This window comes from Homo sapiens, chromosome 2 (assembly GCF_000001405.40).
Source record: "Homo sapiens chromosome 2, GRCh38.p14 Primary Assembly".
Lineage (NCBI taxonomy): Eukaryota > Metazoa > Chordata > Mammalia > Primates > Hominidae > Homo > Homo sapiens.
Window position 1 is genome coordinate 238,314,831 of NC_000002.12, and position 21,765 is coordinate 238,336,595.

The window sequence follows — 21,765 nt, forward strand, 5'->3', positions numbered from 1 at the left end:
CAGGGACGCATGTCCACTCCCTGGCCACCTCCCCGCCTCCGTAAGGATCTCGGTGGGACTGGGTGACTCTGCTCCCTTGTCCCAGATCTTCTCAGAGCTCCTGATGCCCAGGTGGGCAGGAGGGTCTCTGATGGCTCACAGTTCCAAACAGCCAGGCCCTGTGCCCTCAAGGCCTCCACAAGGCCTTGGCCCACACGGCTCCTGCTCTCCATAGGCTGGGGGAGAGATAGGAACCAGCTTCCCCTTTGAGCAGCACTGGTTCAGGGTCCGAACCTCAGGGGCCCAAGTGTTCTCCAGGCCACACCTACCTCTCCCACCACTCAGGCTGGCCACTGTCAGACAAGCGGGTTTCTGGCCATCAGGCCCAGAGGAGGATACTGCCCAGATGGGACTTTCTGGGGCGGGGGCCGGGGAGCTCTGCTCTTGGGAACATTGTTCCGAAGGCAGGGCGCTTGTGGTCTCTGTGCTCCTTCCACCGCTGCTCAGGCTGACCCCAGCCAGCTCAGAGCTCAGAGACGGATGGGCCCTTGCAGGAGCCTCTTGGCTCCCAGCTTGGCCATGGTGGGCAGATCAGGGAAGGCGGCCCAGCCGGGCTTCCTCCAGTTTGGGAAGACTCTCCCGCTTTCAGCCACCACAGCATCACCTGCATCTGGTGCAGCACCCCTGGAGGGCCCTGTCATCCTGTGAAGATGACCGCCCTCTCTCTAACACCTGGGAGCAGGAGGCTGCTGCAGTCTTGTCTAAGGGCTTCATCGTTTCAGAGCTTTAGGCCAGCCTCTGCGAAATGAGGGCCCAGCCACGAAGAAGTACAGTCTCACCATGCTCCTCCCCTATAAAAACTTTCAGGGAGGCCTGAGGAGAGGTTGGGTGGTGGGCAGGAAAGGTGAAATGCAGGAATGAAGGGAGCTAACAGCATTCTCCATGTTCATGGGAAGTGTTAGTTTCACTGGGTGGGGGATGTTGGCAAATGACAGGGCAGTATGGAAACTATTTATTTTTCTTTATGGGGTTTGATGAACTGTTTAATTAATGCTTGTTCTTGGGAAGGAGGTACGTGTGTGATAAGGACACGTGTGGACAATCAGGAGAAGAATGGGAATTTGGGAGCCCTAGAAGGAGCGTGATTCAGTGATTCAGTGTCCACCGTCATCCTGGACTGTTCCAAGGGACTGCAGTGCCAAATGTCACAGTGGACTGTCCTGCAGAGGTCCTTGGGATGGTGTGAGTCTGGACTGGAGACCATATACTCTGGGAAGTGTAGTGCTGAGAGAAAGGGGATGGATGGAAGATCACAAAAGCTTCTGTGGGTTGGGAGTGGAGTTTCCAGAGTCAGGAAGATTTCATGAGGCAGGAGTCAGAGGCTGGTGGTGCTCTGGCCAAGGAGTAGGGTTATAAACGGAGAGCAGCCAAGATGGAATCCCTCTGAGGGTGCAACTCTTTGGGGGCTTGTTTTCCCCACGGAGCATGGGATGGTTCTATATGGTGAGTGTCGTTAAATTCCCTCTATCATGGGCTGTCTCTCTCTTAGGTGTCTCCCAGCCTCTCGGCCGAGTCTCACACAGCCAGCCCACCTGCAAGGTGCAGTGTAGGAGGAAGCAAGGCCAACAGTTAGAAGGAGATGAGCCCTGGCCCCTTTCATCTGGCCTCTGTCTAGGTGACCAAAGCTCACTTGGTCCTGGATATAGTTAGCAGCATGAGGAGTGATGTTCCTAGGACCAGTGGACAGCATGGACGCTGCCTTCTAGAAGGTCTTAACTCCCCATTAAATCCCCAGCACTCAGACAGTAATCCATACATAGCAGTGATTCAGTAAATGCTTGAATGATACTTGATGTGGTATCTTCACTAGAGATATATGAATATTTAGCAAGGGCAGGGAAATATGCTCAAAATCACTAATCACTACAGAAATGTAAATAGGAACCATAACAAGACACCATTCCACACCCGTAGAAAGATGAACGTTAAAAAAGACTGACAGGGGCCGGGTGCGGTGGCTCACGCCTGTAATCCCAGCACTTTGGGAGGCTGAGGTGGGTAGATCTTGAGGTCAGGAGATTGAGACCATCCTGGCCGACATGGTGAAACCCTGTCTCTACTAAAAAATACAAAAAATATCTGGGCGTGGTGGCAGGCACCTGTAGTCCCAGCTACTCAGGAGGCTGAGGCAGGAGAATGGCATGAACACGGGAGGCGGAGCTTGCAGTGAGCCAAGACAGTGCCACTGCACTCCAGCCTGGGCGACAGAGCAAGACTCTGTCTGCGGGGTGGCGGGGGGGTGCAGGTGGGAAGACTGACAGGCTGGGCACAGTGGCTCACACCTGTAATCCCAGCACTTTGGGAGGCCAAGGCGGGCAGATCACCTGAGGTCAGGAGTTCGAGACCAGTCTGGCCAACATGGTGAAACCCCATCTCTACTGACAATACAAAAATTAGCTGGGTATGGTGGCGGGTGCCTGTAATCCCAGTTACTCAGGAGACTGAAGCAGGAGAATCACTTGAACCCAGGAAACAGAGGTTGCAGTAAGCTGAGAGCATGCCATTGCACTCCAGCCTGGGCAACAGAGCAACACTCCATCTCAAAAAAAAAAAAAAAAAAAAAAAACCCAAAAACAAAAAGAAGAAGAAAAACAAAAAGACTGACAATACCAGATGTTGGCAGGGATATGGAGTAACTTGGGATTCAATATATTGCTGGTGGGAATGAATGATGATGCAGCCACTTTAAAAACAGCATGGTAGTATTTGTAGAGTTAAACATATTCTTACCATACAACCCAACAATTCCAATACAAGAGAAATGAAAACTTTCACAAAGACTTGTAAGTGAATGGTTATAGCAGCATTTTTTTTTTTTTTGAGACAGAGTCTCACTCTGTCACCCAAGCTGGAGTTCAGTAACACGATCTCAGCTCACTGCAACCTCCGCCTCCCAGATTCAAACATTTCTTGTGCCTCAGCCTCCTGAGTAGCTGGAATTACAGATGCACCCCACCACGACTGGCTAATTTTTGTATTTTTAGTAGAGACAGGGTTTCACCACATTGGCCAGGCTGGTGCTGAATCCCTGACCTCAAGTGATCTGCCCACCTTAGCCTCCTGAAGTGCTGGGATTACAGGTGTGAGCCACCATGCCTGGCCAGCAGCATTATTCATAAAAAATAAAAAACTGAAAGCAACCCAAATGTCCATCAACTGATGAATAAACAAATTACACTATGAAATACCATTCAGCCACAAAAAGGAATGGCATATTAATATACGTGTAACAATATGAATGAATCTCAAAAATATAAGAGAAATAATGAAATACAAAAGACTGTGTACTGCATGATTCCATTTATATGAAACTCTAGAAGAGGCAAAATTATAATGACAGAAACCAGATTAGTGGCTGCCTGGGGCTGGGGTGGGGAAGGAGATGGGCTGCAAATAAGCAGCAAGAAATGTTTTAGGGTGCAGGGACTGTTCTGTATTCTGATTGTGGTGGTGGTAACATAATTGTATATAATTACCAAAATGTATCAACCTGCACACTTAAAATGTGTGAATTTTATTGTATGTAAATAATAAAATATAAATTTTAAGTAGAAGAGACCCCCACATCTAGATATACCATGTGCAAACTTCTGGCAAACCAATAATAAAAATAAAATCTTGAAGGCAGCCAGAAACAATAGACAGAAGAACAAAGAATTACGGAAGACTTTTATTCAGAAACTACGCAAGCCAGAAGTCAATGGAGTAACATCCTTAAAGTACTGAAAAACAAAAACAGTCAGTCTAGAATGCTACACTTTTCTTTTTGTTTGTTTTTGTTTTTTAAAGACAGAGTCTTGCTCTGTTGCCCAGGCAGGAGTGCAGTGGTGCCATCTTGGCTCACTGCAAGCTCCAACCCCCGGGTTCAAGCGATTCTTGTGCCTCAGCCTTCCAAGTAGCTGGGGTTACAGGCACACACCACTACGCCCAGCTAATTTTTATATTTTTAGTAGAGACAGGCTTTCACCATTTTGGCCAGGCTGGTCTCAAACTCCTGACCTTAAGTGATCTGCCTGCCTCAGGCTCCCAAAGTGCTGGGATTACAGGCGTGAGCCACTGTACCCCTAGAATTCTTTTTTTTTTTTTTTGAGACGGAGTCTCACTCTGTCACCCAGGCTGGATTGCAGTGGCATGACCTCGGCTCACTGCAAGCTCTGTCTCCTGGGTTCAGGTGATTCTCTTGCCTCAGCCTTCCTGGTAGCTGGGATTACAGGCGCCCGCCTCTGCACCCAGCTAATATTTTGTATTTTAAGTAGAGACGGGGTTTCACCATGTTGGTCAGGCTGGTCTCGAACTCCTGACCTCCCAACTCTAGAATTCTATACTTCTATGCTTAATAAATATTTGTGGCTGAATTTACTGGAGGTGGTTATAGGGGGACATGGAAGGAAAACTATAAAAATGCAATTTAGTATTTGTTGATAAACCATACAGCCTGACTGGCATTGAAATTGGTTGTCTGTATAACTTTTCCATTACCAACTGAACTGTGCTAGAAGAAATATTAAAGGAAGTTCTTCAGACAGGAGGGGTATGACACCAGATGGCGATTTAGATCTCCACAAAAAATGAGGAGGCCTGAAAATGGTAAAAATGAAGGTCAATTTAAAAGTTATAATGGGGGCGGTCGCGCACACCTGTAATACCAGCACTTTGGGAGGCCGATGCGGACGGATTGCCTGAAGTCAGGAGTTCCAGACCTGCCTGGCCAACATGGTGAAACCCCGTCTCTACTAATAATGCAAAAGCGAGGCTGGTGTGGTGTCGGGAGCCTGAAGTCGCAGCTACTCATGAGGCTGAGGCAGGAGAATCACTTGAACCTGGGAGGTGGAGGTTGCAGTGAGCCAAGATCGTGCCACTGCACTCCAGCCTGGGCGACAGAGTCAGACTTCGTCTCAAAAAAAAAAAAAGGTTATAATGGTGTTCTCATTAGAAGAACTACAGACCCCAGAGCTCTCAAATCGCCGGAAGGATTTCTGCGGTAGGCCTGTGCATGATGGACAGAGGACAGGTGGTAAAGAATCACGGACACCTAGTAGGACAACTAGGCATGGCTTTGTCCCGGTTTCAGAGCACCGACACAGCATTTAGTCACCATTTACCTTCTTGGGAGGTGGGTTAGGCAGCGGGCACACTAGTCCTGCTTTGTGGGAGCAGAAGTGAAGTCTCAGAGAAAACAGGTGACTTGCCCAAGAAGCCTTATTAATTACCAGCCAGGACAGCGTATTTTCTATTCCGTGTGTTTTGGGATAACTTAGTGCCGTCCCCTCCGATGAACCAGTGCCTTCGAAAGCCCTTGAGATTTGGGAAACAGGCGGCACAGATCTTGGAGGTTACCTTGTTCTTAATCAGTCCTCAGGCAGTCGCCTCTAACGCGAGCGAACACCGGCTTCCCGAGGCCGTCGCTCGGCAGAGGAGGGGCCAGGCGCCCGATCCCAGATCCCCTTTCCCCGCCCCGCCGCGCCCCGCCTGCTCTGGCACAGCCGCACTCCCGCAAATCCCTCCCGCGGAACCCCCACTCCTGCCTGCGCGGGCGCTGGAAGGCGGGCAGGGGGCGGGGCGCCGCGGCGCGTCCGTTGCTAAGGCCGCGCAGCCCTAGTGACCGAACGCCCTGCGGCGGCCGCGCAGGCGCTGTGGTGGGCTCCGGTGCACTGTGGGATGGAAACCGGAGCGGCGCGTCCTGGCAGGACCGGGCGGCGGCGGCGGCGGGGCCGGCGGCGGCCAGGGACCCGGGCTTAGGCTCGGCCAGGCCGGCTGAGGGGCGCGGGCGGCCAGCGGGCGGCGGACGCCGTCATGAACGCGGCGGTGGTGAGGCGGACGCAGGAGGCGCTGGGGAAAGTGATTCGGAGGCCGCCGCTGACCGAGAAGCTGCTGAGCAAGCCCCCGTTCCGCTACCTGCACGACATCATCACGGAGGTGGGCGCCGGGGACCGGGCCCGGCCAGGTGCGGGTCGGGATTCCGGTGGGCGCCGAGGTCAGGGCCCGGGCCGGGTGGCGCCGGGTGCGAGCCGGGCTCGGGCTCAGGTGCGGGTCGGGGGCCGGGGCTGGGCCGGAGTCGGGGCCCGGGCCGGGTGTGAACCGGGTGTGGGCCGGGCTCGGGGTGCAGGTCGGGGACCTGTTCAGGGCCGGGTGTGGGCCGGGCACAGGGTGCGGGTCGGGGGCCGGGGTCAGTTCCGGGGTCGGGGCGAGAGTTCTGTGCGGCCCCTGCCTGGGAGCCCGGCCTGTAGGCCCAATTCCGCGGCGCCCTCCGTGAGGAGGTCCTGCCCCTCCCCCGGCTCCGGGCCGCCGCTTACAAGGAGGCTCCGGGCCCTCAGGAGCATTCTTACTTCTTCCCTGCCTGCCCTTGTATTTCCTTAGAGTGCATCTTCCATTATTGCTGGCAGAGCTGCTTCTGTGACTCCTGCCTCGTCTAACCTTGCAGAACCCCTCTCGCTTGCCCTGAAGTATGTAGCACGTGGAAGGCACTCCCTAAATCCTGGGAGAATGGAAATAATATTTTTTATACAACCCTTCTGCCCCAAAGTTTCCCTCCATACCACATTTTGGGTGCTTAATAAATGCCTGCGGGTGGATTTAGTGGAGGCGGCTGTAGGGGGACTTGGCAGGAAAGACTGTAACAGAGCTGCACAGCCTGCCCTACGTTGAGATTGGTGGTCTCTGTAGCTTTTTCCACTTGCGGATGGTGTGCTCCTCCGTGACGGAGACCCTGGCTTGCTTATTAGCATGGCTCTGGTGATCTGCACTGGGTAAGGTACATAGAAATTGCACAACAAACATCCCCTGTTGAGTGGGACCTGTCAAGGCTCGTGGTAACTCCCTGGTAACTCTCAGGAGCGTCACTGCAGCGGGCGCAGCACCCATTTCCATGGTGGACCCAAGGGCACGTGGGAACTCAGAGGTGTGTTTTGGGATTTAGGATTCAGGTTGGACTTGCAGACTTCCAGGGCCTCATGACCTCACCTGGTGATGGTCCTCAAGCTCTGTTTCTCACTCTTTTCAACAGGTTGGGTGCCTTATTCTTGCACAGACTTTGCTTTACTGGTTCTGCCCTCCTACCTTAGCTTATAACGTGTGGTCTCCTGGAGCGTGTGCCTCTGTGTTAAAACAGTGCCTAAAAATGCTCTCGAATCCACCCACATCCCAGGGCCTCGCCAGCCCTGGTCATGTCCTCCCAGCTGGTGCAGCACTTACAGCCTGTCCTGGACAGTGTGTGGGGAGAGGACCTGCTGTGTGGATAGCCCGGTGGGAGGGGGACAATGTGCCGCATCACCACCGTCCCGTGAAGTAGGCGGGTACCCGTCCTCTGACCCAGAGGGAACAAGAGCCAGTGTGAGCCCAGCCCACTCTAGCTGTGGCTGCCAAAACCTTTATTCTCCCAGGCCTGTCTGTCCCACTGAAATGCAGAGCCCCAGGAGGGAGGTGCAGGGAGTGTGCCTTATCCTTGTGGGGCAGTGATGGCGCTCAGCTCACGGTGGCTGTCCAGTCACTACCGCATAGTTGGTCAGAGGAATCCTAATGGGAGAGGAGGAGGAACATGGGCTGGGTGCTGTGGCTCACGCCTGTAATCCCAGCACTCTGGGAGGCCAAGGCGGGCAGATCACTTGAGCCCAGATGTTCAAGACCAGCCTGGCCAACATGGTTAAAACTCCATCTCTACTGAAAATACAAAAATTAGCTGAGTGTGGTGGTGCACCTGTAATCCCAGCTACTCAGGAGGCTGAGTAGGGAAGATTGCTTGAGCCGGGAAGGTTGAGGATGCAGTGAGCTGTGATTGTAACACTGCACTCTAGCCTGGGTGACAGAGTAAGACCCTGTCTCAAAAAAAAAAAAAAAAAAAAAAAAAAAGAATTGCCTTCTTGGCCAGGTAGATAGGGTGTGTGGAACGAGTTGCATGTTCCCAATTAGGAACGACTGGTCTGCTCTTCTCCCATAGACTTCCTCATCTAATGCCAAAGTTGATTTCTCTCCCTGTGTAAAGATAAATAAATTATGACCTACTTGATAAAGTTGTTAGAATGACTGACATATTGGAAAGGATTTTCAGATAATAGGTGGAGAGCCTCTTATGAAAATGCTTTACTGTACTGAATATTATACACACATTGCTATATTAGTATTTTAGCTATAGCTACACTAACCACCCCGTTTCATTAAGCTAAGTGTGGATACTGTGACGTTAATGTCTCTTGTCACTTACAGTTATTGTTCACAATTTTTTTTTTTTTTTTAGAGGGATTCTTGCTCTGTCGCCCAGGCTGGAGTGCAGTGACACAGTCTCCACTCACTGCAACTTACGCCTCCCAGGTTCAAGCAATTCTCCTGTTTCAGCCTTCTGAGTAGCTGGGACTGCAGGCACATGCCACCATGTCCAGCTAATTTTTCTATTTTTAGTAGAGATGGGGTTTCGCCATGTTGTCCGGCCTGATCTCGAACTCCTGACCTCAGGTGATCCGCCTGCCTCGGCCTCCCAAAGTGCCGAGATTACAGGTGTGAGCTACTGTACCCAGCCTATTGCTCACAATTTTAACTGCCAGCATCCTGGGAAAACCTCAACAGGGACAAAATGAAAATGTTCCAGGAATGTTAAATGCAGGATGCTCTTAATATTCTACCTGTCATCTCAAGAAAAACAGTAGCATAGCTCTTACATAGTGTGGTGTGGAATGAAAACTCCTAGATTCATTAATACCTAACTTGATGCAAATTAAGGAGTTGTGGCTTGATTCCAGAGGAGGCTCTCATTAGGGTGGGACTGTCTTGTTTTTAAAACATGTCTTCCCGTAATAAATATGCTTTATTAGCTGACCTAGGATATGTGGCTATGAGCATACCTGTCCTTACCACATACCATGCAGCCTGCTGGTAAGGGTCCCAGCTATTCAAAATGCTTGTTGCTACAAATTGTATTGATTTTACAGTAACCTACCACATTTCAAAAAACTGCAGTCTGAGACAACCCAGGACCCTGGCTGGGTGTGGTGGTTGAGAGGAACAGGAAAAATAATTGCCCTAAAAGCTGGTTTTAGGGCTAATTAGGAGGTACAGGTTACCTGAGGGAAGGGATGATTAGGGAGAGAACCAAAGCAGTGAGGTGTGGAGCCTGCCACCATCTTAAGAAGTGAGTAGTGACACGTGGTGAGGAGAAAGACCCTTGCAGAACTTCTAGTCTTAGCAAACTAGGTTGAGAAATTCCTTTTCTTTTCTTTCTTTTTTTTTGAGGCAGAGTCTCACTGCGTTGCCCAGGCTGGAGTCCTGTGGCATGATTCTGACTCACTCCAACCTCCACCTCCCGGGTTCAAACAATTCTGTTGCCTCAGCCTCCTGAGTAGCTGGGATTACAGACGCCCACCACCATGCCTGGCTAATTTTTGTATTTTTAGTAGAGACGGGGTTTCACCTTGTTGGCCAGGCTGGTCTTGAACTGCTGACCTCAAGTGATCCACCCACCTCGGCCTCCCAAAGTGCTGGGATTACAGGTGTAAGCCACTGTGCCCAGCCAAAGTTCCTTTTCTTTTTGGAATCTGTTCCCTCCATTGCACCTGAAGGACTCTTGTAAAATGCCGTTCCAGGTCCTCCTCGTGGTCCTTCAGCTCAGTTCATGTCCCTGAGTGGCTTCACAGGGCCTCTGCACCAGGCCCCGAGTGTCTCTCTGGCCTCAGGCTCCTGCTGTCCTACATTTCTTTTGATCCCTTGCAGGGGACTCTGTGGGTCCTGGACCTTGTGTGGACTTTCATTTTCTTTTTTTCTTTTTTTTGAGACGGAGTCTGGCTCTGTCGCCAGGCTGGAGTGCAGTGGTACGATCTCGGCTCACTGCAATCTCTGTTTCCTGCTTCAAGTGATTCTCCTGCCTCAGCCTCCCCAGTAGTTGGGACTATAGGCGAGCACCACCACACCCAGCTAATTTTTGTATTTTTAGTGGAGACAGGGTTTCACCATGTTGGCCAGGATGGTCTCGATCTTCTGACCTTGTGATTTGTCCGCCTCAGCCTCCCAAAGTGCTGGGATTACAGGTGTGAGCCACCACACCCAGCCGTGTGGACTTTCTTATGTTTGGCATGTGCATCCGAAATGTCCCCTTGCCCAACTCTTCTGTAAGCCTGGTCCCCATCTAGGTATGATTCCTCCAGGAAGGGTTCCCTGCCACTCCTGCTCCCTCCCGGATTGTGGATTAGGTACCAAGCCTGAGTGCTTCCTTAGTACCTGCATGGTGTCATCTTTACCTGTCTGTCCACACAGCCAGACTAAGTTCTGAGAGGATCTGGCTGGCTTCTGCCCTGCACAGCACGTGTAGTAGACATCAAATATTTCTTAAGTGGATGATTCAAATCTGGGCTGCTAGTCAATTCTGACATCTCCCAAGTGTGGAGTTGAGTGGATGAGGCTGATGAGGAGGCTGTCTGTGAGGTGACATGGTGGCCTTTCTTTCTCTCTTGAAGGTGATTAGAATGACTGGTTTCATGAAGGGCCTCTACACAGACGCCGAGATGAAGTCTGATAATGTGAAGGTGGGTTTGAGTCGGGCTTCTCCTATTGACTCCTCGCCTTAACGGATGGGATTTTTTGTAGGCCTGGTAGTGTGGCTTGTGTCATTTCTCTGCTGCATGTGGTTGGAATACAAGGTCAGTGAATTCGTAAATTGATATATATACCCTTTCTCATTTCATTTTCTCATTGTGGCAACTGGATGTCATGCTAGTTTTATTCACTGAAAAATGGGATTAGTATTTCAAAGGTTAATGCTAGCCCATCAACTAAATTAAAGGCTTTAATGAATTGTTTTTGTTTTGTCAGTAAAAGGTCAGTATTTCTAGATTTGTTATATATCTAAAAACAGCTTTGTATGTAAACAGAAACTATCCTATGCCTGGTAAACATACAGAAGATAATGCACACTCTTCAAAGTATTGTAATATTTGTATTTTCAATGGAAATGTTTCAGGATAAAGATGCAAAAATTAGCTTCCTACAAAAGGCCATAGACGTGGTTGTAATGGTGTCGGGAGAGCCACTGTTGGCCAAACCAGCCCGAATCGTGGCGGGGCATGAGCCTGAAAGAACAAACGAGCTGCTCCAGATAATTGGAAAATGCTGTCTCAACAAGGTACTACTGCTGTCCTGGCATTTTGAACTTACTTAGTACTTGAGTAAAAAGTAGTCGGGGGTGAGGGACTCACATGTGCGGGCGGTTTAGGGAAGGAGTTTCAGTGGTGTCTGTCAAACACTGTGCTTTGAATCTGATCCCACCCCTTCTGGAGCCCCAGAGATACAGAAGGAGTAATTTAATACTGAATGATAAAACAAATAAGGGTATGTAATACGCAAGTTCTGCAAGCTTTCAGTAGAAAGTCGGGAACCCTGCAGGCACACTGTGCCTGGCTGGAGGCTGGAGGCTGCAGGCCCAGGCTTCCATGCCCTCTGGCTTTCTCCTTTCTGAGGCTCCCTTGAGGACAGGTGGCTGCTTCCAGCCAGGGCTGCAGTGGCTGCAGGAGCTGCTTTTCTTCTTCCCTGGGTCTTATGGGAGTCTCTGTTCTCTTCCTCCATCTCCAGCCTCTGGTGTCTGCTTGCCTGTTGCCCTTCCTCTCTCTCTTCCACCTTTTCTCTCTCTCTCGGTTGCTGTTTCAGTTGTACGGGGAGTAGATTTTTTCTTTCTTGAGCTTTTCACTGTGGGCTAGAAACTTGGGTGTCAAGGCCTCAGGCTTCTCTAGTTAGGTCCAGCCTGGGCCATGTTTGCCCAAATGTTGGAGAAGGTCTTTCCCCAGGGTCTTCCTTCTTTTGAGGGCCGAGTAGTGCCCTGTGGAGGAGCAGGTTGGACTTGTATTGAGAGTGTAATTAATACAGTTTTTCACATACCTAGTGGGTGGTTGGCTGGGGGCTAACCTTAAATGTGACCCAAATGGGAACAGGTAGGTTTCAGCCCCCTCAACAGCAGTGGGTAGTGGAGGTGCATAGTGGTATCAGGCCGACTCCTAGGAGGCCCCCCCAGTGCAGGTCCAGCATGCAAACTTAGAGACTTGGAAGCAGATCTTGCCAGTACACTGGCCTCTGTCCCTAGGCTCCCCAGCTCCCCTTCCCGGGTCCTTTATGTTTCTCATCTTTCTAAAAAGCACATCTGGCTCCTGTCTCCTCTGCTGAATCATCTCCGGCTTCCAGTAGCCTCGGGTCTGGGCCAGCTCCATGGCACAGCTTGTGAGGCTCCTAGAGACCTGCTGCTACTTCTCTCCCTTCAGATCCTTCTCTCGTTTCCCATATCTGAGCCCTCCATTCCAGTCGCCACGCACCCCTGCATTCGGCCCTGGCCGGCTGTCTCCCGTCGGCCTCTTGCCCTGGTGCCTGCTGGCTTCTTGGTACCTGAGCTGCCTTCCTCCTCCAGCCTCACCCAGCAACAATGTGGCGTCTGTGAGTGCTTCCTTGAGCCTGGGCCTCTCCTCCCTCCCAGGCTGACTTAGGTGCCCCTGTAGGCTTCCTATAGGCTGTTGTTTAATTGTTGTGTTTATCTGTGTCCCCAGTACACGGTGTGTCTTTGGCCTAAATGGAGCCTGGCACGCGGCAATCACGCAGCATGTGCTTGTGGAATGAGTGCGTGAGTCAGTGGGACTCCTGACTGAGGTGTCCTGCACTCTGGATGGCTGTCGGGGATGCTGGAGAAGGAATTTTTGCGTTTGATGGGGCTTGAATCAGATCAGTGGTTTTTTACCCATAATTTTATTATTGTGTTAAAGTCCATAAAACATAAAATTTGCCATCTTAACCATGTTGAAGTGTACACTTCAGTGCTGGTAAATTCATTCATCTGCAGCCATCACCACCTTCCATCTCCAGGACTCTTCTCCTTGCAAAACAGACTCTGTCCCCATGAAACACTAACTTCCTCTTCTCCCGTACCCCAGCCCCTGGCACCCTCCATTCTACTTTCTGTCTCTATGAATCTGACTACTCTAGGGACCTCGGATAAGTGGGGTCATAGAGTGTTTGTCATTTTTTTGACTGGCTTATTTCACTTAATATAATGTTCTCAAGGTTTATCCATGTTGTGGCATGTATCAGAATTTCATCGCTTTTTAGGGCTGAATAATATTCCATTGTAATGGATATACCATATTTTGTTTATCCACTCAACTGTCAATGGTACAGTTTGCTCCCACATTTTAGCTATTATGAATAATACTGCTATGAACATGGGTATACAAATATCTCTTCAAGACCCCGTTTTCTATTTTTTTGGATAAATACCCAGAAGGGGAATTATTGGGTCATATGGTAAATCTGTGCCTAATTTTTTGAGGAGCTGTTATACTATTTTCCATAATGGCTGCATCATTTTACATTTCCACCAACAGTGCATGAGAGCTTCAATTTCTCCTTATCCTTGCCAATGCTTGTGGTTTTGTGTGTTTTTTTTTAGGAGCAGCCATCCTAATGGGTGTGAGGTGGTTAGATAAAATCTTAAGGCACTTATGGCTGGGATTCTATGATCCCATTAGAAGTTTAAGGTATTTGTAGTAGAGTTGCATGGGTCAGCTTTATTAACCTTGAACACACACATTCACATTTGACAGCTTGGGTAGACTTGAACCAGGATTCATTTAGCTTGGGTGGACGCTACTGTTAGTGACCAAAGTGCTGAAAGTAATAGTTATCAAGATATGCTGTGCTTTGTATGTGATAATAACATGTTCAAAAAATATTTTATCCTTTGAATTTCATTGTAGACAGAGAATCTGTCTCATGAGCTATCTTTGAATGGCGATGTTCTATTTGTTACGTGTGCGGATCTCATTTCACCTAACACCTCATTTCCTTCCATTTGGACGACAAGCTCTCTAGTGACGATGCGGTGCGGAGGGTTTTAGCTGGAGAGAAGGGAGAAGTGAAAGGCCGGGCCTCACTGACCTCAAGATCTCAGGAATTGGATAATAAGAATGTGCGAGAAGAAGAGTCCAGAGTTCACAAAAATACAGAGGTGAATTCCAAGTCGCACATCTTTGAAAATGAAATAGTGAGTCTTTTTGTAGTTTAGGTAAAAATATTCATAAATGATTTTATTTTTATTTCGTAGGATAGAGGAGACGCTGAAATAAAAGAGAGAAGTACAAGCAGAGATCGAAAACAGAAGGAAGAATTGAAAGAAGACCGCAAGCCAAGAGAAAAGGACAAGGACAAGGAGAAGGCCAAGGAGAATGGCGGAAACAGACACAGAGAAGGGGAGAGAGAGAGAGCCAAAGCCCGGGCCAGGCCAGACAACGAGCGACAGAAAGACAGAGGCAACAGGGAGCGGGACAGAGACTCCGAGCGCAAGAAGGAGACAGAGAGAAAGAGTGAGGGGGGGAAAGAGAAGGAGAGACTGAGAGACAGGGACCGAGAGCGCGACCGGGACAAAGGGAAGGACAGGGACAGACGGAGAGTGAAAAACGGGGAGCACTCCTGGGACCTGGACAGGGAGAAGAACAGAGAGCATGACAAACCTGAGAAAAAGGTAAAGTCTTGCTGAGAACCTCGCCTTTTGCTTAGCAAGAGTTTGTGGTGGTCTCAAACATGATTTTTACCTTTCTTACAATATGACTAGGAAACTGGTTTTCTTTTATGCCTATTTAAAATGATGACAATCTTGGATTCTCAATAGAAACCCAAAGAGATACTTATTTCTTGTCAGTTGTGTTTTGGGTTTTTTTGTTCATCCCCTAATAGAAGTTTATTGTTCAGCCAATCATTTATTAAGGCATTATTCAGTGAGTTTTTAACCATTTCCTACTTCATGTCCAGGGAGAATTCTGCTGGATTATAAGCTCCCTAAGAGCAAAAGCTAGAGATTTCACTCATGTTCACTGTTGGATGCCCAGTCTGATAGAGTGTCTGACACATAGCAGCTTTGCAGTAAATATTTGGTGGTGGAATGGATTGAGCATCCAGGCAAGGGGTGATGGGCTTTTCAGATCATGAAACACTGGATGGAATTGATCAATTGATGGTGGTTTCTGAGGTCTCCCTTTATGGAATTTTGATCTGGGAGTGGTAGAAGATAATTTGAAGGGGGATGTCAGGAAAATATTAAATGCTTGCTCTTTTTAGGGTTTAATGATTCCCCACCAGGCATGTAGAGAAATCAACGTTTTTCAGAGTTTGAGCTGATTTGCCAAGTTGCTCTTGTCCTTGTCTTGCAGGTGTTTTAAGATGTGTTGCTTCTCCCGTGCGTGTCGTTTGTGTCATTTGTGTCACTCTCAGTATTGCTCTGAAGGCTTTGGAGCAGCCTCCACCTTAGCATTGCAAGCGGTGTTTATGCGCAGTCTGAGTTGTGCATGTGGTGTCTTTAGGAGCATGGACATTGCTCAGTTATTAAGGATTAGGGCTGCTTTCAAGGGCTTTTAGGCATCAGCAGATAAGTACAATAAGACCTGAGTTTACTGTAATTATTGTTTAATTAAATTTTCAGGTAAATTTAGGGTTTGCCAGGAAGTCCTGTTGGTTTCAAACTGTTTTCTCAATGTGTGAATTCTTTCTGGACCCACCATGTGTGTTGGGGACGTTTTCCCAGACACCCAGACACGCATTCTTTGGGGGATGTCAAATTGTAAAGCATCCCGCGAAGATGTTGGAAATCATCTTGTCTCCAGCTGCTAGGAAGGAGGACACTGAGGTCGGGAAGGGATCCAGATCTGCCCAGTTGATCCGGCCGGGCAGTGAGGGGCAGGGCCTGAGCTGGTGCCATGGCCTCTTCCTCCCGGGACAGCCATCTTGTCTTGTGGCACTGCGTCTCAGGGTGTGCCTGCCCAGGGGAGGTGGGTGGGCGCCACAGGACTGACCCTGAGGGAATCCTGTAAACCAGGCTTTCCTGTGGGGGTCAGTATAAGCCCATTTTGTGATCTGTGGGTCACAGTGGGATGGGGGGTGCCTACTGGCAAGACTGTGGTTTTGTTAGTAATTGAACGTAGTGTTCTACAAGGCACTTTGGAGTTTTACTATTTAAAATGTCACTCTTTCCCCCTCCACTGCACATCCTGGAGTAATGTACCCTATGATATGTGTCATACCTGGCTTTCCTTATGAGTCTTAGGAATTACAAAGACATTCCCCATCTTTTGCTCCTTTTTAGAGGTGTAAGAAAAAATATTTTTCATGGACCTGATTTTTCTGAGGCACTAGTATATTCGGGTGTATTTTGCTGTGCATGAGGCATCCTAGGAAGGGGTTAACCTTCCTCAGCTCACAAAGCCTTCGGATTGAGGGTCCCCACGTTATGTTCCCTAAAACTGCTAATGAGGTGACTGGCTTTTTAAGTAGAGAGAAACCATTCCAAAGAAATTCTTAGAGGCTCGGCCGGGCATGGTGGCTCACGCTTGTAATCCCAGCACTTTGGGAGGCCGAGGCAGGTGGATCATGAGGTCAAGAGATCGAGACCATCCTGGCCAACACGGTGATGAAACCCCATCTCTACTAAAAAAAAAAAAAAAAAAAATACAAAAATTAGCTGGGTGTGGTGGCACGTGCCTGTAGTCCCAGCTACTCAGGAGGCTGAGGCAGGAGAATCGTTTGAACTCGGGAGGCGGAGGTTGCAGTGAGCTGACATCACGCCACTGCACTCCAGCCTGGGTGACAGAGCGAGACTCCGTCTCAAACAACAACAACAACAAAAAGAAATTTTTAGAGGCTGATATTTGGGAACATATCAGAGCCAAGTATAATGGTGGTTTTGTTTAAAAGCGTCTGAGACCATGGCGAAGTGATTTTTTCCTACTCGAGGCTGTTGCTTACTTGGCTGCCGTGAGATTTGCGTGGATCTCGCATGGTGGTTGTGCTTGCCAGGCTCTTCTGTGGACGATCTGGGGGCTTCTTCATTGAGCCGCGTAGGTCTGGGAGGCAGCTGCGTCCTTTCCTCTGGTAAAAAGCGCCAGGCAGGTGTGAGCTGCTGTGAGGCGCCTCCCGAGGAACCCCTGTTCCCAGGGACCTTACTCACATCTACGCTGGGGAGGCAAGAGACTCAAGTTCTAACCCCGGTTCTGCCTCAGTCATTCTTTGTCCTCTTCCCCATTTTATTTCTGTCTAGTAGAGAGGCTGATGAGATCCTAGGCTACCTCATGGGCTTTTGCGAAGAAGAGGTGAAATAGTAGATATGAAAACACTTGGAAAATTAAGAGTGCAGTTGAGAGGCCAGGTGCTAAGTTAGACTGGCCATGTGGGGGTCCCAGGCCCCTGCTTAACTGCCTCTTTTATGGGTAGCACGTGTGCAGTGCCCAGCTTGCAGTCATGGGTAATTACTGCTGATACAATCTGATACCTTCATAATTAACTTATGAGGACATTGAATTGTTGAAATATCGAACAGGCATTCTTTGCTTTTCAGTCTTCCTAGAGGAAAATCTCAATGAAGATAATCATTCTACTCCTTCTACTCTGAGATATGTCTTCTGGAAAAGTGATTTAAGGCGTGAGATAAGATGGTGTTTACGGTTTTCATGCAGTTTATGTTATGAGAGTGCTTTCCTCACTTAAAGTCTGAAGCCTTTGCGTAAAAAGAATTGCCCCATTCTATTAATAAAGTTAGCCTGTGATCAGCAGAGGCGGCTAGGAGCAGTTTCTCCGTGGGTGTTGGAGGTTTATATTGTTCATTCCCTCCCTCACTTCCAGATCCCTGGGTTTCATTGCGATATGTTTCCAGGAAGTTCGGTGTGGCGTAGGGATTCGTGTTCTGTGTAGCTTCCTGAGAGTCAGGAGTATTTGAAGTCCTTGCCCACCTACTCTGCCCTTATGGGAAGAGATCTCCCTGCCATTGGCTCGGAAGACTCTTGGGGAACGCAGGCAGCAGTAACAATTGTGGCGATCAGAGCTGGACTGGCGATGTGGTGTTCTCATGGGAAGAATGATTTCACTGTTGGTCAGTGTTATAGAAAATATCTTGGCATATTTTTAGATATTATGGATTGGAATAATTCTAAAGTTTGAATTTTTTTTTTTTTTAATAGTCAGCAAGCTCAGGGGAGATGTCTAAAAAGTTATCAGATGGAACTTTTAAAGACTCCAAGGCTGAAACAGAGGTAAACTTTAAAAAATAACTTTTAAGAGATGTCAACTTGTAGCTGTGTTGAAATAGTGAATGCTGTGCGCTCCCCGGGTCCACTGAGGCATGGAAGGAGCACATGGTCTGGGCCTATCTGTAATAGGTCCATTTTATTTGGTTGTAAAAGTAATCAGTTAAATGCTTTACCTCCTGGTAAAATAGATGGGTGTGTGTATTCTCTGATTTTCTGTGGGGCACTCCTGGGTTTACTTATGCCTTTATATGACAAGTGTGATATGTGGTGTGATAGGGCTGTCATTTTGGGGAGAAGGGGGAGGTGGCACTCAGGATGAGTCTGGAAGAGGCAGGCGTAAGTCACCAGACAGACGGGGCCAGTGGGAGGGACCCCTCCAACCTCTGGTTGGCCTGTTCAGGACTCCGCGATGCATTTCCTGGGGCTGGGTATGGTAGAAGCTCATCATCTCCACGTGGGCCGTCTTGTGGAGGTTACACTCATCCCAAGCAGTAGGGGCCACTGAGAGGTTGAAGCCAACTTTCGTAATCCAATTTGCATTTCAGGAGGTCTTCAGGAGGTTGCAGGGAGATGGGTTAGGCATAGAGTAGAGGCTGGGAGGCCAGTTAGGGGAGAGAGGTGGTGAGACTGGAACTGTGCCAGTGGAGGGAGGAATAGGATGTGCTGTTTCCTTTGATTTGTGTTCTGTTTAAATATATGTAAATTTTTACCTTCTGAGTTGCTTACAAGTGCATTTAAGTAATTAAGTATATAGCAACAGAAGTGGAGTCCTCATAAGCACATCCAATAAGACAGTGTTTCTCAAAGTGTGGGGAGCAGATTGTTGACCTTTTTAGGGCTGTACAGAATGATGGAATTCTAAATATAGTGTGAAAAGGGTTTTGGCCTCCGTGTAATTCACAGTCTCAGGTCTTGAGTCCTTAGTAGTATTGAGTTTTTAAAGCATATGGGCACTATTGCTGGATTTCATACTTGTTCTTCCTCAAGAAGAGCTTGAAAAATAAACCTGCTTATGATACTGCTGTGTAATACATCAATTAATTTCTTTTCATTCTTTTTTCTTTAAGACTGAGATTTCCACTAGAGCTTCCAAGTCATTGACAACAAAAACATCAAAACGGCGATCCAAAAATTCAGTGGAAGGTACTGCAAAACTTATATATGTAGCTGAAAATATGGATATTAGTTTTTTTTTTTTTTGTCTTAATCTCAATGTCTAGTAGGAAAGAACTCCTATGGCTGGAAAACAGACTTGCTGTGTCTGGGAATGAACAGCGTGTGGAAATAATGAAGATTTGTGGCTGTTACATACACATGCGTGTGTGCACAAGTGTGTGAACTGATGACATCAGGGCAGAGTAGCCCCTCTTTGCTGGAGATCTGTGTTGAAATCTAAAAGTTGTGATCAAATTTTCATTTTCCAGAAATACTTATCAGCCATCTTCATTTCAGTAGTTCTGTCCTTTGCGTTGGCAGTCTGCATTTAATCCTGATGCAGGTTGGATATAGAGCATGTAGGCAGATAATGTTTATGTGTTTAAAAACTGCAGAAATTATGATTGGAAGCCATGCTAAAAGCCGAATGTACAGGCCTGGCCTGCGGTCCGCTGAAGGATAGTACCTTATCATCTTGCCTAACATAAGAGTGTCAGGCAAATGCAGGGAAGCCCTGTTGGAGGCCACTGGCATTGGAGGCTTATTTTTCATTGAAGTATGAAGTTACTTTGAATGAGCAGTGCTAGTTTCTGAAAAATCATCCTTTTCCTAAAGTGTGTAAGTTAAAGAAGGGTGGCAAGATGTAGTAGTGGGAATTTTCGCCTTAGAAAGGAGGCTTAGATGGTAGGTTCCACATGTGCACAATAATTAGTAATGCGTTTGTGACCAGCTTAGTGCCAGAAGCCTTTGCTGTCTTTTGGTTGACCGCTGTGGGGTAGGTTTCCAGAAGCGCAGTGGCTGGCACAAAGGGTGTGGCATTATGGCTACTGCGTGCCCTTAATGACCCTTCACCCCACACCTTCTCCAGTGTTGTTAAGGCATGCTGATTTTGATGGACGAAAAACAAAAACGTTGATGACCAGTGAAATGGTCCTTGTCATCGCGTGTGAGTGTTTTGGGCGTCTCTGACCTGCCTGTTCTTTGGTTTCTCTGGGTTCTTACTGATTTGCTTGCACGTGCTGTATGTTAAGGACATCTGCCAATTTGCCAGTTTTTGCATGAGTGTTTCTTTTTCAGTTTGTTTCTACTAATTATATTTGGTTTGGTTTCTGATTTGCCTAAGTGTTAAACTGTTATGTGCTTGAGGCCTCTAATCTTTTTTTTGGTAATCTGTCCAGAGATTTGAGAGGTGAAGATTTGTGCTTTATCATACATTTTTTTTTACTTAATTTCTTATGTTATCTCTTACTTTAATTCATGGTATAAGGTGAGGCTCTGAATCTATTTTGTCAGAATAATCCATCCGTGGTTCCAGGATCACTTATTCATTGAATGCTTCTCTCCTGCTCTGTGAAGCCTTTTGTAGTCTGGGTTACGGGCTTTTTTGTGTGTGGTGTTTTTTACTTCCACTTTTTTATTTTTACTATTAGTTTTCTATCATTGTTCTTTTCCAAAAAGTTTTAAGCCATCTTATTTGCTTATTCTTCCGGATGAATTTTAAAAACTCTTCATGACTCAAGAATTCCACTCTTGCAAAATAAACTAACGTCTCAGAATTTAACTGGACTTGTGTTAAATATATGCTTTCATTAGTTTAGGAAGTTTAGGCACCTCTAACTTCAGCTTAGTGAAGGTGTCCCCCTCTTCTGAGAACACGTTGCGTGTACTTGGTTGCGTATGTTGGTCACAGTGGTTGCTCGCTGGTTTATTTTATTTTATTTTATTTATTTATTTATTTATTTATTTATTTATTTATTTATTTATTTATTTTGAGACGGAGTCTCACTCTGTTGCCAGACTGGAGTGCAGTGGCGCAATCATGGCTCACTGCAACCTCACTGCAAGTGATTCTTCTGCCTCAGCCTCCTGAGTAGCTGGGATTACATGTGTATGCCACCACGCCCAGCTAATTTTTTGTATTTTTAGTAGAGACAGGGTTTTACCATGTTGGCCAGGCTGGTCTCGAACTCTTGACCTCAAGTGATCTGCCCGCCTCAGCCTCCCAAAGTGCTGGGATTACAGCTGTAAGCCACTGTGCCTGGCCTGTTGTTGCCTCTTAATCCAGTAGTTCTTCTGTTGATTCTTTTGGCTTTCCTAAGCAGACAGTTGTATCATCTGCTCTTCTTTTCTAATTGCTTCTGATATGTGCATCTGTGTTTACTGGTGAGCTTGTGCTCTAGGGTTCTTTTGTATGGTCTTAAGAGATTTTATTAGCAGACATTTATGGGCTTTTTGACACTGAGCTTCCCTGAGCTATCAACAGCTCAGTGGACTCCTGTCTTCCCCTCCTGCTAGCCGGGCACTGACCTCCCTGTGGGTTCCCCAGCAAAGCTGGCACTCTGCCTGAACATTCTGCCTCGCTTAAGTAGGTTCTCATTTGGGCAAATGCTCAGTACCCAGAGGTGTGTGACACACTGGACCTCTGTGTCTTGCTCAAGGGGATGAATGAGACTTTACTACAGGGTGTGAGGGTATCACATTGTTAAACATATTTAGACTCTTAAAGTCATTCTGGAATCCCTGCAGAATCCAGAAAGCATTCTGCCTG

At 47.8% G+C, this 21,765-nt stretch overlaps 1 protein-coding gene across 10 annotated transcripts in view, besides 3 other annotated features; it reads left to right on the forward strand.

Annotated features, from left to right (window-relative positions):
- Positions 222-721: an enhancer, noted in NCBI's record as "H3K4me1 hESC enhancer chr2:239223693-239224192 (GRCh37/hg19 assembly coordinates)". NCBI's record gives its function as "activates a minimal SCP1, AML or CMV promoter by ChIP-STARR-seq in naive H9 embryonic stem cells {active_cell/tissue: H9 hESC(naive)}" and the evidence as "EXISTENCE:reporter gene assay evidence [ECO:0000049][PMID:30033119]".
- Positions 5,342-5,821: a silencer, noted in NCBI's record as "silent region_12495". NCBI's record gives its function as "represses an Ori minimal core promoter by ATAC-STARR-seq in GM12878 lymphoblastoid cells {active_cell/tissue: GM12878}" and the evidence as "EXISTENCE:reporter gene assay evidence [ECO:0000049][PMID:35858748]".
- The window catches only part of TRAF3IP1 (TRAF3 interacting protein 1), an 80,383-nt gene continuing 64,305 nt past the window's right edge, over positions 5,688-21,765 (forward strand). For 7 of the 10 annotated variants that reach the window (XR_922902.3, XM_011510944.3, XM_017003789.2 and 4 more), the window contains exons 1-7: positions 5,688-5,955; positions 10,476-10,544; positions 10,979-11,140; positions 13,856-13,999; positions 14,096-14,512; positions 17,994-18,065; positions 19,130-19,205. Coding sequence is in view for 9 of the 10 variants with exons in the window: in XM_011510944.3 (XP_011509246.1) it covers positions 5,833-5,955; positions 10,476-10,544; positions 10,979-11,140; positions 13,856-13,999; positions 14,096-14,512; positions 17,994-18,065; positions 19,130-19,205 (1,063 nt within the window). In the remaining variant the exon portion in view is untranslated. The remainder of the gene's footprint in view (positions 5,956-10,475; positions 10,545-10,978; positions 11,141-13,855; positions 14,000-14,095; positions 14,513-17,993; positions 18,066-19,129; positions 19,206-21,765) is intronic. The other 3 variants (XM_011510946.3, XM_047443898.1, NM_001139490.1) reach the window with 2 other exon arrangements.
- Positions 5,952-6,181: a silencer, noted in NCBI's record as "silent region_12496". NCBI's record gives its function as "represses an Ori minimal core promoter by ATAC-STARR-seq in GM12878 lymphoblastoid cells {active_cell/tissue: GM12878}" and the evidence as "EXISTENCE:reporter gene assay evidence [ECO:0000049][PMID:35858748]".